Source organism: Homo sapiens, chromosome 21, assembly GCF_000001405.40.
Source record: "Homo sapiens chromosome 21, GRCh38.p14 Primary Assembly".
NCBI classification, from domain to species: domain Eukaryota; kingdom Metazoa; phylum Chordata; class Mammalia; order Primates; family Hominidae; genus Homo; species Homo sapiens.
Genome location: NC_000021.9, coordinates 30,557,568 through 30,577,042, shown reverse-complemented (window position 1 = coordinate 30,577,042; position 19,475 = coordinate 30,557,568). Strand labels below are relative to the sequence as shown.

The window sequence follows — 19,475 nt, the reverse complement described above, 5'->3', positions numbered from 1 at the left end:
CCAACCTGGGTGACAGAGTGAGAACCCATCTCAAACAAACAAACAAACAAACAAACAAAATATATATGGATATTATATGTCAGCTAAAAATACCAATACATGAATGAATGCTTTCTTCCACAGAGTGTGCATTGTTAAGAACCAGGTCCTCCATGGTACTGCAATAATTTATATTAATTAATTTTAATCATGGTAGATTTTCAATCTCATTTAGTCATTTTAGTCACAGCACAACCAATGCTATTATCCAAAACAGTAGCTTTATTTTCCTTACATACCCTGGCTTTTGGCCTTTTCAGTCAGACTGTATGTTCGCTGCATCATCTCATGTTGAGCTTCCCTGCAGCCATAATTCGTGTTTTGTACTTCACATCCTTTTGACTGTCGTTCTTCAGCTTATTTGCAGAAGATCTGAAAAACCATGCAGTATGTCTCATGGTTTATAGCTGGTCAGCTTGTTGTAATCCCTGTTTACTCATGCCCAGTGTGGTATTCCCTTATTAGAAGGTGATTTTTAGTGTGTCTTTATAGGATAGGTTAGAAAAAAAATCTGGTATCACTCCAATTTCCATCTTTCTAAATGGTGAGTGGAGTAAATTTCAAGGCACATTGTGTTCATGTCTGCTCTAAAGAGGTGTGCTGAGAAAACATCAAATATTTTAACCCTTGATTTTTCCAAGGAAAGGACAAGTGATATGTATGGTAGTAGGCATTTTTTAAGTTAAAAGGAACAGATAAAAAATGAATTTTTATAAAGCGATGCTACCGTCACATAGCTGGGTAGGTCTGAGTTTGGACCATCACTGTTCTCCTTACTTTTCATATGACTTTTAGCCAATTACTCGACTTCTTTTTGCCTCAGTTTTTTAATTTGTAAAAGTGAGGATATATTTCTCTCTTTGGATTGTGTGATGTTTTAATGATATAAGAAATAAAACTGTACTCAACAAGTGTTAGTTCCCCAATAGTTCTGGACATTAATACAAATTTTTAATAAATTCAAAGCCAGTGGAATAGGGAGATTCATTGTACCTCACATGCCAAGTTTGCTATCATCGCTTCCATGCCAAGGGATAGATGACTTTGGACTTGCTGTATCACTAATGAACCAATATGGTAGAACTTCACTTTAGTGGGATGCACAAGAAGCTACTATATAGATTTTGTATTACATTTGTAAACATATAGTGCAAACATGCCTCTGTTGTTTCACATGTCCTTCTTCTTAAATCAAAGCACTCCTTTTCTATTTTGCCAGAATGAGCTATCTTGTCATTGAGGGCTGTTAAAGGAGATGGCAGGCTGAAAGAGCTCTATGAATAAAATCCAGCAAAGCCTTAGGATCTCTGGAGGAGAAGTTACTTGCAAGAAAGAACTGCTCTTAGTCAAATGTGTTGACATAAATAAATTAATTAGATTGAAAAGGAACCTGGGCTCTGAGCAAAATGTTAGTATCTAAAGGTATGTTTCTTTAAGAAATTAATAAATAACAGACTAGAATAAAATTATTGAGCACATATTTAACAATAATTAAATTTATCTTGGTGCAAGATATTTCCTTTTTGTGCCAATTACAAGTCACATTAAAATACTATGAAATGTTTTTATTTTTAAAGAAATTTATTTTAAAGATAATTTTAAAGAAAATTATCTTATTTTTTCTGAAAGCTTTTAAACTATCTTTTTCTAATTGTTTTTATGTAAATATGTTTGAAACTTACTGAAGTATCTAAGCTGTTTAATCACAGCTATCCAAGCACCTGTATCTTGCTTTTATCCTGGTATTAAGGCCCAAGAGCATGAGGTAATGGGCTTAACTAAACATTCTATTCTCCAGATAAAAAATGACAGTAACACATTCACAACAATAACGATTATGCTTTTGAGTGACAAAACATGGTCAGCATTACTGGAATCCTAAATATAAATTATGTGTATATCAAGATCTCATAAATGATGTTGGCCATCCAGGTCTTCGATCAATGCTTAAATGTCTGAAAAAATAAAGTCACACAGGTGGAATTCATGCCAAGTAATCAATACTTGTTAAAATATAAGCGCAGAGGAGAATCTTCTGGTTGTACAACAATTTTGGTCCTAATGCTACAAAACTGTTTGCCAAACTTAGCTTTATATGCCTTCCTTCTACCTATAATCAAATAAGTACTCCAAGCTGTAAATCACCTTGTAATCTTGGATGTTATTTACAAACTGTCTCCTTAAAACGGGGTTATCAGGATACATGTAATGCCGTGAAAACTACTAATGAATTCAAAAACTGAAATCTAAATGACCAAAACTTTAAAGGAGGGAGGTAATCTCATTGAGGGCACATGATTTAACTGTCAACATTTTACTACAGAGATTAGTTAATATTTAGTTACCCAGTATAAAAGATTTCCTTTTGTTTAAAATCATTCTGAGCCATTAATACGTTTCTTGTAAGAATTCATCTATTCATTCACACATCCATGCATTAATTCATTCAGCAAATATGTGTTTATTTATTTTTATTTTTATTTTTTGAGACAGAGTCTGAATCTGGCGCCGAGGCTGGAGTGCTGTGGCGTGATCTCAGCTCACTGCAACTTCTGCCTCATGGGTTCAAGCGATTCGTGTGCCTCAGCCTCCTAAGTAGCTGGGACTACAGGTGTGTACCACCATGGCTGGCTAGTTTTTGTATTTTTGGTAGGTTTTGCCATGTTGGCCAGGCTGGTCTAGAACTCCTGGCCTCAAGCATCCACCTGCCTCAGCCTCCCAAAGTGCTGGGATTGCAGGTGTGAACCACCACACTCAGCCCATTGAGCAAATATTTAAGTGCCTATTATGTGCCAGATGCTTTGGTAGGCAATGGGGTATAGGGATGGATAAGATAGAATCTGTGCCCTGAAGTAGCTCATAGATTTTTACGTGAGAAAAGAATATAAACAAAGTCATAACATAATAATAATATTAAGGTGTCAGGGTGACACAATGTCAACATGTTGAACTGTTTAAAGGAAAGAAACAGAGAAGAATTCAGAAACAATGGGTTATTCAAACAAAACATTAGAAGGCCAAGATGCTGTACCCACTACTGAGATAATGTTCAAACTAAGGAAACAAATTTCTGTCTTGGAGTTAATCCTCCACTTCTGATACCACGTGCTACTGTGGTAACTGTGATGGTGGCCTGGGCTATGGGCATGGCTGTGGGTATTGTGATACTGTTACAGTTGCTGCTACTCTTCTTGCAGTGGCAGATACTATGGATTCTACTGAGGAATCAACCCTGAGAGCCACTTAGCCCATTGGACTCACCTTCCTGTGAAGTGCTAGCTCTCTTTCCACTGTTCTTCGTCCCATCAATGTTATCAAAAGTTAGCTCATAGCCACATTTTAAATGACTTTAGAATATTAGCTGCAGGTTCTGGATTGAGCGAGAGAAATTTCAAATTTTTTATCTATTTTTCTGCAATTATACTATTTTAATAAGTCCATATATTTCCACTTAAATTATTCTTTTGAGAAAATTCATGTTTTTTTTAAATGTAATATTATATGATCTTATGAAGGTGAATTTGACTTTATTTACATTTGCTTATTGCAATAATTTTGCTTCCATGTTTTTATATTTGTTTTTGCGTGACTGATGATATTATTGGTACTTCCAAGTCAATTTAGTTTAATTACACAAGTATTTACGGAATGCTTGCTTGCAGTGTAAAGTTATCATCCAGACACCAGAAATGTACAGATGTACGAGGTGGATATGGTCTCTCTTCTCTTGGATACACAGTCTATGTGGGAGGATACTGTTAATCCACTAGGCAATACAAGTTGAGATTTGTTATTCTCACAATCATATAACATATCCTGTGATCATTGATTATGAGACGGTGAAGTGGAAGGAGTGATTTCTGACAGATAAGTAGATGAGTAGAAGCATAGAAGTAAAAGTAGGTGAATAGAAGTGAGTAGAAGCTAGATGAAGAAGATGGGTACTGTGTGTGTGTGTGTGCGCGCACATGCATGTGCGTGTGTGTACAAGTGTAAAAAGAAAGAGAAAAAGTGACAGGCTTCTCAGGAGGAAGTGACAGGAAGTAAACAGAAAACATAATGAGTTCTTGTAACTTAAAGACATTCAATGTGAGTAGACCCTAAAAACTTCATTAAATCCTGGGCACCTATCAGGCTCTTCTTACTTTAAAGTCGAAGGGATACAGTAGAAAGAAAAGGCCGTGGTCTACCAGGCCAGATGCCGATACTAGGTAAGCACGCCAACTGCCTGAATAAAAGCAAGTCCACGAGGAAAACCAATAACCAGGACTTTCATTGTTGGCAGGAATCAATCAGAACAACTGTTCCTTAATCTTATCAAACGGAACATTTACTTTCTTCCTTTGGGGAGTTTATTAGTCTGAGAAATCTAACTGATAAAACAAAGCCCCCATATCTCAGTAATCTCTTTCATCTTAATGAAAAAAAACTATATCTCTGTGCCTATGAATTGTGTTTCTCCTTTCCAGCCCAGGACTCCCACCTGAGAATGAGACATGTATCTATCTATCGCTACAAATCCGACATGTCTTAGAGTCATCTTAAGCTGAATATGTCTAAAATTAAACTTCTCATCTTTATTCTAATGAAAATTTGCTGTTTTTACCCTTTTGCCGTATCAGTTTATGACATTTCCATATCTTTAGGTATTCAGGCCCCAAACTTTTGATTTTCTTGACTCTTTCTCTTGAAGCCTACTTCCAACTCATCAAAAAGTTACATTGACTGTACTTTCAAAATACACCAAGAATCCAACCACTTCTTGCCACCTCCACCATTACACCATTACAAACATCAAAGAGTCTTTGTTCAAACTACACATAGTAGATGCATTTAAAGTTCCGCCCATATCTCCTTGGATCTCTTTCCTAGTTGTTGTTCACAATGGCTCCTAGATTACCTTCATCTCTCAACAGTCAGCACATGTCTATTTATAGGCAGTTGCTGAAACCTATTGTTGCCTACCCACAGGGAGAGCTAGACTTGCCTGGCAATTTATGCAGACTCTTCCCCACCCCCTCCTGCCACCCTCCTCCACCATGGGACTTCCTTGACCTCACCTCTTACCAGTGCCCATTCCTCTGACCACCTTTGTCCCCCTGCTAATTCTGAATATGCCAGACATATGCTTCCCATCAGTGTCTTAGTGCTTGCTCTTCCTTCCAACTGGAGAGCTCTTCTCTCAAATATCAACAGAATTTGCTTTCTCATCTTTCCTGACAGTTGTCTCAAAATTTTCTTCTCTGTGTTCCTGACAGTTGTCTCAAAATTTCATTCTCTGTGAGGTTTCCCTGACCACTCTGTAAAATTTTAACTCCCTTGCTGCACTTTCTAGCCCACTGCTTGCTGTTTTCTTCGTGTACTTTAATATCTGATATTATTGTTCTCACCTGGAATAACGTATGGTCCATAGGAAAGGGACTTTTTTCTCTTGACATTTTTTTTTTCATTAGTGTATCCCCAAAGCTTAAAACGACCCTTTTCAGTACATGCACAATGTATATATGCTGAATGAGTAAACTTGAGAATGACTTAATCGAAAGCTACTGTGGTTTGCTCATTTTATAGTATTTTGTATTAGAGGACCAACTTTTGATATATTTTCAAAATGTCATCAGAATTTCAACATTTAATCCTATGATCTGAGGAAAAATAATTCCATGAGTATTCCTAATATGCTGTATAAATTATATATACAGTATATAATATATATAATTTATATATTTCTATATAATTTATATATACTTTATATATTTCTATATAATTTATATATACTTTATATATTTCTCTACAATTTATATATACTTTATATATTTCTATATAATTTATATATCTTTATATATTTCTATATAATTTATATATACTTTATATATTTATATATAATTTATATATAATTTATATATACTTTATATATTTCTATATAATTTATATATAATTTATATATAATTTATATATTTCTATATAATTTATATATAATTTATATATTTCTATATAATTTATATATAATTTATATATTTCTATATAATTTATATATTTCTATATAATTTATATATACTTTATATATTTCTATATAATTTATATATACTTTATATATTTCTATATAATTTATATATACTTTATATATTTCTATATAATTTATATATAATTTATATATATATACAGTAAAGAGAACATGATGTGACAATACAAACTCTTTGAAGTCAGATATTATTCTCCCTGTAACTACAAAAATAAATCGCAGGCCGGGTGCTGTAGCTCACGCCTGTAATCCCAGCACTTTCGGAAGCCAAGGCAGTCAGATCATTTGAGATCAGGAGTTTGAGACCAGCCTGGCTAACATGGTGAAATCCCATCTCTACTAAAAAAAAAAAAAAAAAAAAAAAAAAAAAAAAAAAAAAAAGCCTAATGTGGTGGTGCGTGCATGTAATCCAAGCTACTTGGGAGGCTGAAGCAGGAGAATCTCTGGAACCCGGGAGGCAGAGGTTGCAGTGAGCTGAGATCATGCCATTGCACTCTGGGCTGGGTGACATAGCGAGACTCCAACTCAAAAAAGTAAATAAAAATAAATAAATACATAAATAGCAGAAAACCATTTCTTCACAGAATCCTCAACAATGGCAAATGGTATAAGGACAAATAAGTAAAATTCTATTGTGGTTGGAGAAAAATGTTATAGTACAGATATTTAAGTCTGGTACTTTGAATTTATCTTAGGATACATTTTAAAGAACATAAAATACATGTTCTACATAAAAAAGTTGGAGCATCACATTCAAGAATCCCGTAAAATTTTGTTTCTCTCTCTAAGTTCAGACAACTATTTCAGCCCACTAAATGTGAAGTTAAATTTCTAGAGGAGTACCAGAAATTGAGGAATCTGATATTGCCATTAACTGGAAAGCCATGTACTTCAACAGCCAGTTACATTAACTGTAGAATTTTATGAAAGTCTCTGAATATAACTCTTTTAAGAATATGATAAGTACATTTGTAATACTCCAATACTGTGAACTTTGAACCAACCTGTTTTTAAAGAAAACTCAAAATTAACAACTGCGCTAATGATTTTGATGCAGTTTATATTTTGATTTTACGACACCGTTTAAATGTGAACCGTCTCATTATTTACTTAAGCATAATTAGACTACCAGGATACCAACATGGGAGTAATTGTCCTGGTTACAGCATAAAATGTTTCTAATTAATTAATAGAGAACAAGGGAAAATTTTCAAATATGTAAAGCAAAAACCGAGGTAGTTCTGATGGTTCGTTTATGAGGTTAAAAAGAGGCAAAGACAGATATAAATAAGCTTCATAAATTAAACAAAGACTTCTAGTTGCAGAGTAAAATATGATATTTAACCTACAAATATTGAAATGGGAGAGTTCCCTGAATCCCCTCACAGGACATGTGACAGGGGTGTGACTTGCTCAAACCCCAAGGGGGAGCATGCAGAGGTACAGGTGCAGAAGTCTGAGTGACAACTTTTGGGCTCCGGCCCCATAGCAGTGCCAAGGGCTGGGTGTCTGCAACTCCAGAAGCCCAAATGGGCATGGGTTACAAAGCTCTTTCTGATTTGCCATCTGCAGGCGGCTTGTGTGTTAATCAGTTCAATGGACCCTCTGCCTTATCACAAGGGCAGAGGAGCAGTGTGACAGCCTTCTGTATCCTAAGTTCTTGCCCCATATCTTGAAATAATTGCATCACACGTAGGCTTGAAGGATGAGTACAAGGTTTTATCGAGTGATGGAGGTGGCTCTCAGTGAGATGGATGGGGAGCTGGAAGGTGGAGGGGTTGGGGAGATAATCTTTCCCGGCAGTTCAGCTGTTGTTAGACGAGCTCCTCTTGACATTCAGGCACGTCTTCCTTCCTTCTCTGCCATATCGCCTGGCTGCTCTCTGCTGCTCTCCACCACTCCTCTTGACGTTCAGCTGCTTGTGTGTGTGTCCGCTAAGGTCTCAGGTTTATATGGGCACAGGGTGGGGGTCATAATGGGCCAGAGTGGTCTTGAAAAATGCAACATTTGGGCATGGAAACAAGAGTGCCCGTTCTTACTTACGTCCACGGGCACAGGACCACAGCTCTTGCCAGGGACCCCACCCTTCTCTACCCAGCACTTCCCTGCCCCCATCCCATATCAACATTTTAAAGGAGAAACTAGTAATAACAAGAGCAGAAGCAGTCTGTGGTTGGCATGGAAGCTCAGGTAATGAGACACATCAGTGAAGCATGTACAAGGCTCTGCAATAACAGATCACCTGTATCTTCATGGTTATGTATCTTGGATAGCCCAGAACATTGTTCAATAGATTCATTAAAGAAATGAGCTGGGTAAGGATATTTTCTGGAATACCACTGATACAGAATTTAGCCCCAGGTATGTGTTGACAAAAATAATTCCATTGCATAATTAATTCTTATCTCATGGGGAACAGAGAGACGTTTCCAGAATCTCCAGAGAAGAAAAAGTCAAATCTCTAGGAGGAGCCTCCTAGGAAAACATTAGTTACGCTTAAAAATGTATCCCTATCCAAAGTCTAGCTCTTTAGCTTGTAGGGTTGGTTAGATGGCTCAGTCAGTACACTGAGAACAACTCCATCTCTCAGGGCCTGACTGCCATTAACAAGTTAAAGTGGCTCATCTATAAAACAGAATGCCTATTCATTAATATACAACATGAAATCATTGTTACAGGAACTATAACATTTGCGTTAGCTTGATTTTTGAATTATCCCTATAGTTAACCTACATGGAAATCCAAATTATAATCAGATCATTTTATTAATTTACAGAGACAAATTACTATCACGGGGAAATGGAAATACTCAAAGCCTATTTTATCAGCATGTCATCTTTATTTTATATGAGAAATGAAATCATAATCAGAGGCCAATTTATTAATTTACCCTGAGAAATCACTGTCAGAGTGGCCAAAGGGCTTAAACTTAATATAATTAACTTACCCTTTTCCTGTAAGGAGTGGTGAATGTCATAGTAATCAGAAAGCTGTGTACCTGGCAAAGAATCAGAACACAGGAAGTTATGTAAACTGAATATTTAATGACATCAGGAGAAGACAACTTATTTAATTATCCCAAGTTTATCAGGAGTATTTGCAGCTTTATTAAGGTCACCTTTGCCCTGAAAAACACTTGAGTCCCTCAATGTGACTCCAACATGCCAAAAACATCACTAAAGCCTTGATGGCCCCTTATCAGCAAATATTTTGACTCTGTTAAAAGAACTGTTTGTCCTGTATGCCCAGGAAACTAGTCAAGACTTCCAATTAGAGCTGTTACTAGAGTTAAGATCCCAGTCCTAAGCTCATCAAACAATAAGAGCAATTTTCTTTCTAATAATGACTTAGATTTTCAAATGGCTAATCTACATAGTTCTTTCCGGAAGTAATGTATCTCAAAGAGTTGACTCTTAAACTATATATGAGAATGATTATCATCCTTTTATCTATGGGTAAAGAAAAATTGGAAAAATAAGGTTATTAGTTTTTGCTAGTTAGTTAAAAAAATCCTTCAATTTCTCAATCCTAGTAATTTCAATGTCCCACACTAGGCATCAAGATTCCTGGCCTATGAAGCCATCTAACTTAGCTTTTAGGTTTGGATTTCAACATATAAAGCAAAATATGGGCAGGCTGTTAAATATTTTCATCATTTAATTTTATGTGCCTTGAATTTTTGGTGTTCATACAGATCTCAAGATTATATTTAAAATGCTGTATAGATATATATTTTTTCTGACAAGTATTCATAATTTGCAATGATTTGACTCACTGAATAACATAAAAGCTTCAGAACTTTGTGACATTGCCTAAGGCATCATTACTTTATTGCTCCGAATGTAATATTTATCTAATTAGTATTAGCTCTAGCCAATAATACATTTTTCACCCATTTGTACTGTGGTCACCAAATATCAATTGTGGTCATCTGCTTTAAACACACAAAAATAGTTAAAACAAGAAAAAAAATTGGCGAAAGATATAAAAAGCAATGCAGGCTGAAAACAAGTGCAACAAAAGTCTTATGAAATAAAGTATAAATTAAAAGTATTACATTGTACAAATTTTAATTATACATTGAGAAGACTGCTACAAGTAATAAGGTTACAACAGCTATTATTAACTGTGAGTCAAAAAATAGATTGACATAATCGAAAAGCAAATATTAGAAATAAGCAAATTTAAGAGGAATACAGTAGATATTAAATAATTTATCACACTTCTATCAATTTAAGAAAACACTATATAAAAATAATAAACATAGGTCAAATAAAAATGACAAATGATGATGTAGAAAAACAGAAATGTTCTTAATCACAGGTCTTTTCAACAATTTGTACAATATTTAGAAAAACAGCATAGTCTGCAATCCAGAAGAATTTCAATACTTTACCAAACATTGCATTGCCAACCCACGATGCTATAAAACTAGAGATTAGTTTACTAAAAATTATATCGAAATATGTATTTTAATTATGTAATGAGTAGAAGAAAAAAGCCTAAGACAGTAAAATACTTATAAAATAAAGAAAATAAGAACACTGCACATGAAAATCTAGGTTGTATTTCAACATATAAAGCAAAACATGGGCAGGCCTTTAAATATGTTAATCATTTTACAGTAACAATTAAAAGAGCAAAACTGGAGATATGTGCTTGTGGACCTTGCAAGTTAGGATGAGGCCAAATAGGCAACTATAAAGTACATAGAAAGATGAAATAATAAAAATTAAAGCAAACACTAAAGTGTTAATATATAGAATAAGGGCAGAATTGGTAAATTGATCAGTTGATGGGAGGAATTGTGAAAACAGAAATAAATCTTGTGATGCAATGTGTATATGTGTGTGATGAAATTAAATATGAGCAAGAAGATATAACAATGGCCACAGACTTTTCCCCTGAAATTGTAGGACATTATTCAGATTGCATGCTAAGAAACTGAAAATATCTGAAGAAAAGTCATACTTTACTCCAACATATTAAAATGTCTTAAATATTTCACTAAGAAATGAATAAACTTAATTAGACAAGCAATTCTGAGTCAACAAAACTATTCTCAATAAACTTTTCTAAGTTAATTTTTTCTAGACTTTCAAAGAACAGATGGAGCAATAAGGAAACAACATTTTAACAAAAGTTAACATTTTTTCTTGTACATAAAAGAATATAACAAAATATAAAAATTTAATTTCCTTCTGTATATTTATAAAATTTCTAAGAAAAATGAAGGATATAAACAGAATAATAAATTGGATTTTTATTATATTTCAGTAAGCTGCTAATTTTAACAATTACACCATGCTGCTTAACTATATTTTAATATTTTGTGTGGGAAATTATCTTCTTTTTATCAGATAAATATTAAGATACTTTTGTAAATTTCCAAAAATCATGCTGTGATATTGACTGGGATCCTATTACATTTCTGAATTAAAATAGGAAGGATTGTATCATTTCTGTATTTTATCTTCTCATACAATAAAATGAATGTCATAATTCTTCATTCATTCAAGTCATCTATATCCTTCCATAAAATTTCTGCACCAATGTCATGCACATTTCTTGTTAAATCTATTGCTCTATTTGACATTATTGAAATTGGAATAAGCTATTATTCAATTATATTTTACGAAGGGCTTTTTTTAGTAGTGCATGAAAGTCTTTAACTTATAATGTTTATCTTATAACTATCTATCTAATTGCACTCTTTTGTTACCCTAATGCATAATTAATTTATTTCCTTATGTTCTGCAAGTATGTGACAATACCATCAGTTTTATAATGATATTTACTATCCATTGTTTCATCTCTAGATCTAGTTTCCCTTCCAGACGTATCGACATACTCTACAGATAAATGATTAATAACAGTGTCAATTGTGGAAATTTTTGCCCTTATTTCAGTATTCATTAGCAAATTATATGCATGATTTTCACAGTGATGGTAAGACCTGTGAGAGTAAGAATATAAACATTTAACAGGACTCTTAAACTGAAGCGATCAGCTTACACAATATAAGAATAAAAATATGATTTAATTTTCCTATAGCAAAATGTTTACAGAGCTATTTAGTAATAAAAAGACATGTCTTTATCCTTTTCAATTATTATCAAAATTGGAATTGTGTCAAGAAAATTATCTGCAGATTAGATATTAGATATTTACAAAATCTTTATAGAAATTTAATGTGTTTGGCTTTAATAATTCCATTTTATAAAGACTCTGATTCTTTCTTGGGTAAACAGAGCTTCCCTACCGTACCCTGAATCATCAGCAATGATTAGATAAGGATAGAAACATATTTTATTCACAAAAATAAACATGTTATTGGATATTGTATATGGCAATAAAGAAACAATGTGAAACTATGAAGCAGCTCTTGGACCATTTTGTCAGGTATTTTTCTATAACAATGTGGCATTGTTCATAATTTTTACACATCTTATCATCTCTAGAGCTTAAAACAGCATCGACTCTTCTCATTGTTTAATCCATATTTCACACAATCTTTGCAATATCAGATAAATACTTTTTTTTTTTCGCTCTTGTCGCCCAGGCTGGAGTGCAGTGGCATGATCTTGGCTCACTGCAGCCTCCGCCTCCCAGGTTCAAGCTATTCTCCTGCCTCAGCCTCCCAAGTAGCTGGGATTACAGGTGGGTGCCACCAGGCCTGGCTAATTTTTCTACTTTTTTTAAGTAGAGACGGGGTTTCGCGATGTTGGCCAGTCTGGTCTCTAACTCCTGACCTCAGGTGATCTACCCGCCTCGGCCTCCCAAAGTGCTGGGATTACAGACGTGAGCCACCGCACCCAGCAAGATAAATACTTTTCAGTGTCTTTTTTTGAACCTTTAATATTACTAGCAACTATTTAGGAAACTGGTCAAGAGAATACAAGGAGCAATTAATTAACATAAGGAGAGGTATATTTTAGATATTAGTATACTAAACAAACACCTTGATAGACAATTTTACTACACACCTCTTGAATATACGTTATACTAAATATAACACATATGGAAGGTGTCATATGTGTTCATATGGGCTGCCTGGCCCATATGAATCTCTCAGTAAGTATTATCTGTTATCTTTGTTTACTTTTAAAATAAAAGTACAAATTGTGTAGACAAAAAATCTATCATCTTATTTGGCTTTTTGCCAATTAATGTATCATTTACATGTGTACTCTCCAGGAAGAATCATCCATAAAAATGTGTTTTTTTCTGGATTGCCAGTGAAAATACTCTGTGCTAGCTTTTAGATGGTTTTAGATGGTTATTTCACTCATTTTGCAATTATTGGGGGTACAATAATGAGGAAAGAAAAGTCTACGTATCATGACCTCATTAAAGTGTCTGATGTCCACAGTCTATTGAGTTAAAAGACATGACGAGGGAATTGGGTCTTTTTCCTTACCTCATGAAGTTTCCGTTTGATGGTTTGATTGTTCCACAGTAGTTTCACAACCACAGAATAATAATGTTGACTTTTATGTGAATATATTTTGTAAAATACATGCTCATTAAAGAAAAAAATAAAGAATTGTTTTAAGAATAAGAGAAGTTCCTAATATTGATATTTGGTAAAATCTTAAAATGTGAATGCACTAGTATCTCAGAAAGATAAAAGACGGTAAAGCGTTTCTTCTCTACAGAAACCAGCGTGAGTCATAGGGTGACTGGGGTCAGTCTAGTCCTATCAGTGCCAAGTGGGAGGTCGTGTGAGCTGAGAATGAGAAGAGGCAGATGACTTGATGCTTCGTGGACAGGCAAAGTTCACATACGTGTTAGCTTCACTTTTAGGAATCAAATAAAGCAGAGGACCCTAGAAAATAATTCCTAGATTGGAGGTTCTGGGATCTTCTATTCCTGATAATAATATTTTCCCTACCAAGCAAATATATCTGGTTTTATCTGGATTGTGACAAGTGCTAAAGATAATAGTCTTTTTAAAAAATTACCTAAAATTATATTGAACCTACATTTTCTTAACTGAAGCAAATTCAAATACAGCAATTCTTTACCATTAATAATTCCCTTCAACTTGTAGTTTGCAAAGTTCCCTCAGGATGGAAATATGTTAAGTACCTAGTTATGTAGCACTTTTAATAAACTGGTAAAGGAAATAAGTTTAATCAGTATAAATGAAGTTCAAAAATAACCTGTATTCTTTGAGGTTCCTGGATAAAGAAAATGTGGCACATATATACCATGGAATACTCTGCAGCCATAAAAAAGGATGAGTTCATGTCCTTTGCAGGGACATGGATGAAGCTGGAACCACCATTCTCAGCAAACTAACACAAGAACAGAAAAGCAAACACCACATGTTCTCACTCATAAGTGGGAGTTAATCAATGAGAACACATGGACACAGGGAGGGGAACATCACACACCAGGGCCTGTCAGGGGGTGGGGGACTAGGGGAGGGACAGCATTAGGAGAAATACCTAACATAGACGATGGGTCGATGGGTGCAGCAAACCACCATGGCACATGTATACCTATGTAACAAACCTGCGCGTTTTGCACATTTACCTCAGTACTTAAAGTGTATATATACATACATACATGTATATATATATATATACATATATATATATATATAGCAGGAGTAGCTGAGCATATATGCTTACTGGTTTCATGTCATTTGCTTTTATTTATATTGATGATATGAAACAAAAATATAAGGCAGCTGGGCATTGTGGGAGAAGATATACCCTAACCTGCAATCTTTGATTTCAAATGCATCTGCTGAACTAAGGCCAATAATCAAAGTACTTAGGTTTTAGTCCTAATCTGCCACTAAGTTTCACTGTTGCGTAACTCTGCTTGTCTCTCTGAATCCATTTTTCTCATCAGTAACAAGAACACTGAAATAAATGATGACTCAAGTCTCTTTAATTCTATAATTATATGATCCTATGATAGTACGAAATTTAGAATCTAGACTAAGATTAAATTTGGGGAGAGGAAACTATTCATAAGGGATTGGCAGGGACTTTATGCACACTTTAATGGTATCTACTAAGCAGGCTGGCTCTACATGAAGCATAATATTTGAGAAATTCCTTTGACATTAATTTGTGACTCTTTTAAAAATTAAATATCATCATTCCACTATAAAATGTGGTTCCCAGCTGACTTTAAAAGCACATTGTATAAAGACATACATCATAGTTGATTGCCATTTCAGAGAACAATAATGTTTCAATTTTTGTGAATTCTTGGCAGAATAAAGATAACATCCTTGGCTTAGAAAAGGCTCAGCAGCCATGGACTGTCAAAGGAAAGAGTGCAATCAGAGGATAAATGTAATTGCATGAGATGCAATTTGAAGAATACTTGAAGCTATAGAGATTTGTTTATGGCATTTGAAACTCAGAAACTCATACATGTACAGTGAATATAAATGCAACTACATTTTATTAGAGGCAAAACACTTATCTAGAAATCCAAATAAAGCAGAAAATAAAACATGTTGTATAATTTCTAAATAACTAGCTTCATAAACAAGGAAGAGAGTGGGATGGGTGTTACAAAACAAGATAGTTGGCATAGTTTTCAGGTAACACGTTCTAAGGGATGACATTTAAAGGTGTGGCTTTCCACATGCATCAGAGTATATATAAATGTTCCTGTCCAGTCACAGTCACCAAACTGACCTACAACAGCTAACCACTTCTGACAACATGAGCTACTCCGGCAGCTACTATGGAGGCCTAGGCTACGGCTGTGGAGGATTCGGTGGCCTGGGCTATGGCTATAGCTGTGGATGTGGCAGCTTCCGCAGACTGGGCTATGGCTGTGGCTATGGAGGCTACAGATACAGCTGCTGCCACCCATCATGCTATGGGGGATACTGGTCTTCTGGATTCTATTGAATAAATACTTGAAATATAGTCTTCTGTGAGATTCCCAATTCTTCCAAGAAACTTTATTCCATAACCATATGGAATTCCATATTCCATAACAAAACAGCTGCTTGGATCACCTGCCTTTTGACAATAGTGTGAAGAAAACTTGATCAACTAGATATTGGCATTTGATTAGTGATGTTCTCCAGATATTCACTTTTTTATTGGCTGGAGAGCCATTATACTCTAAGAAAGATTGTCTTTCAATATCTGATATCTAACCATGAACTTTTTCTCATGTGGTAAATGTGTTTTGAGCCTCAAATTTTTATCACAATAAATGTGCTGTGATGCATTAATATAATCAACCATGGTGATATTTTCTTCTTATAGATAAAAAAATTACCAATACGTTATATGTCACGATTATTTCTTCACCCTCCTCCTCCTCGTCATTCTTCCTGTCCCTTAAACCTTCTTCCTCCCTTTCCATCCCTTTCCTCTCCTTTATCTTCTTTTCTTTATCCCCTTCTCCTTTGTCTTCTTCCTCCTCCTCATCTTTAACATTCTCAATATCTATATTTTCTTGTCCAGGCAAACAGGAATTCTACACCAAAAGGTTAAAGATGCTTCTGTGGTGATAAACTTCTGCTTAATCTTTTAATTCACTATTTCTTGGAGAATATCTTGATAATTTCAGAGCAATATAATAAGAAAAGGTTTTAGCTTGCACATAGATTATAACATTGGAGAACAACAGTGTGAAGGAATTATATCAAAGTATTAACAATAGCTTTATCTAGGAGATGGGAATATGGTGGCTGGTGTAATAGTTATTCTTTCTTCTTTTGTGTATGTTTAAAAAATTGCATAGAAAAAAAGCTATAAAACAAAGCTCGGGCCAATTTATTCCATCTTCAAATACATATTATCTGATTAAATTAAATGTATAAAAAGTGGACCCAAGAAGAAATACGAACCTGAATATTTCTATATGTCATAAAGAAGTGGAATTCATGAATCCATTTTGACAAATATGCAAATTTAAGACTAGATGATTTCACCAGTTAATTCTGAACAGTTTCTCTTTCAGAGAATAAGATAAGATAAAACACTAAGACTCTTCTGTACTTTTTTTTTAAGGTTAGCTGTATTAGTTCATTCTTCCATTTCTATAAAGAAATACCTGAGACTGGGTAATTTATAAAGAAAAGAAGTTTAATTGGCTCATGATTCCTCTGGCTGTACAGGAAGAATGATGCAGGCCATCTACTGGTCTCCAGGGAAGGCCTCAGGAAACTTACAATAATGGTGGAAGAGGAAGGGGAAGCAGGTGGAAGGTGAAGGGCAAACAAGAAATCATGGTGGAGCAGGAAGAAGAGAGAGAAAGTGGAGGTGCTATACACTTTTAAACAACCAGATCTCATGGGAACTCACTCACTGTCATGACAGCACCAAGGCGGACAGTGTTAAACCATAAGAAACTGCCCCCATGAGCTAATCATCTCCCACCAGGCCCCACCTCCAGCACTGGGGATTACAATTCGACATGAGATTTGGATGGGGACACTAATCCAAAGAATATCATTCTGCCCCCTGCCCCTCCCAAATCTCATGCCCTTCTCACATTGCAAAATACAATGATTTCTTCTCAACATCCCCCAAAATCTTAACTCATTCCAGCATTAACTCAAAAGTTCTCAGTCCAAAATCTCATTTGAGACAAGGCTAGTCTCTTCCACCTATGAGCCTGTAAACTCAAAAACAAATTAGTTACTTCCAAGAAACAATGAGGGTATAGGCAATGGGTAAATACTCCCATTCCAAAAAGGGAGAAATCATCCAAAAGAAAAGGGCTACAGGCACCATGTAAGTTTAAAACCCAACAGGGCAGTCATTAAATCTTAAAGATCCAAAATAATGAGACTGGGTAATTTAAAAAGAAAAGAGATTTAATTGACTTACAGTTCCACATGGCTGTGGAGGCCTCAGGAAACTTATAACCATGGCGGAAGGCAAAGGGGAAGCAAGGCATGTCTTACATGGCGGCAGGAGAGGGAGAGCGAGGATGAAAGTGCCACAATTTTAATGAGCTCACTCATTATCATGAAAGCAGCATGGGGGAAATCCGCAACCATGAGCCAATCACCTCCCACCAGTTCCCTACCCTGACACACAGGGATTACAATTCAAGATAAGATTTGTGTGGGGACCTAGAGCCAAACCATATAAACTTAACAAGTTGATCTAAAATTTATACAGAAATATTAAGAACCTGCAATAACCAATACAGTCCTGATGAAGAAAATATTAAGAACTTCTAAATTCCTATTTACCAAAAGGCACAATTAAAAAATGGAAAAGACCACAGACAGAAAAAAGACAATTAGCACACAGTTATGTGGACCTGGCACACATTACTTATTTAGATATGCTATAAATTTAATAAGAAAAAATCTAACAAAACAATTTTTAGAATTTGCAAAAGGCTTAATTAGCCAATTCGTAAAAGATATCCAAATGTCTAATTAGCATGTATGAAGGAGTTCAGTACCATTTGTCATCAGAGACATGAACATTAAATTTTGAGTGAGAAATAGTAATATGCACTCACCAGAAAGTCATTATTAAAAGGACTTACAACATTTTGTTTATGTAGGCCGGGATATAGAATATCAGGAACTTTTGCACATTACCACTGAGAAAATGAATTAGTATAAGCCCTTTAGAAAACTGGCCATGCCCCTGGTGCAGTGGCTCACGCCTGTGATACCAGCACTTTGGGAGGCCAAGGCAGGCGGATCACCTGAGGTCAGGAATTCGACACCAGCCTGGCCAACATGGTGAAACCCCATTTCTACTAAAAATACAAAATTAGCCAGGTGTAACGACACACACCTACAGTCCCAGCTACTCAGGAGGCTGAGGCAGGAGAATCGCTTAGAACCTGGGAGGCGGAGGTTGCAGAGAGCTGAGATTGTGCCACTGAATTCCAGCCTGGGCGACAGAGCAAGACTTGGTCTCAAAAAAAAAAAAAAAAAAAGAAAAGAAAAGAAAAGTAAACTAGCCATGTCTATTAAAGCTTAGCATATATATTTTCTATGACACAGCCAATTCCATTCCTGGGAATGTATCCAACAGAAATGAGTGCATATGCCCACCAAAAAAAAATGTTAGAATATTCATTGTAGTTTTATTCAATAGCCTCAATCTGAAAAGAAGCTAAATTTCCACAATGGATATTGCAAAATGAATAATATTTTGGTGGTATATTCCTACATAGCAATGGTAAGTAACAAAGTACTGCTGTCCTCAACGATGTGGGAGAAACTCATAGACTTAATATTGAACTAAATAAGCAATACAGAAACTAAATAAGCAATACAGAAAAGAGTATCCATTATATGATTATATAAATATATTTCAAGAAAAGCAAAAATAAAAATCTATCATAATAGAGCTTAGAATTTATTCCTTCTACCCCATTGCCATCCTCCTGTCCTTTCAGTTTTTGCCTTAATCTTCCTCTGCAGGTGACAAATCAGATTGGCTTGTGG

General features: G+C 35.0%; 1 protein-coding gene across 1 annotated transcript; it reads left to right on the top strand.

Moving 5' to 3' along the window:
- The first annotated feature begins 15,728 nt into the window (after positions 1–15,728).
- KRTAP19-7 (keratin associated protein 19-7) lies at positions 15,729–16,168 on the top strand. Its single transcript, NM_181614.3, has one exon. The coding sequence runs from the start codon at positions 15,754–15,756 to the stop codon at positions 15,943–15,945; it is 192 nt and encodes a 63-aa protein (NP_853645.1). The 5' UTR covers positions 15,729–15,753; the 3' UTR covers positions 15,946–16,168.
- The last annotated feature ends 3,307 nt before the right edge of the window (positions 16,169–19,475 follow it).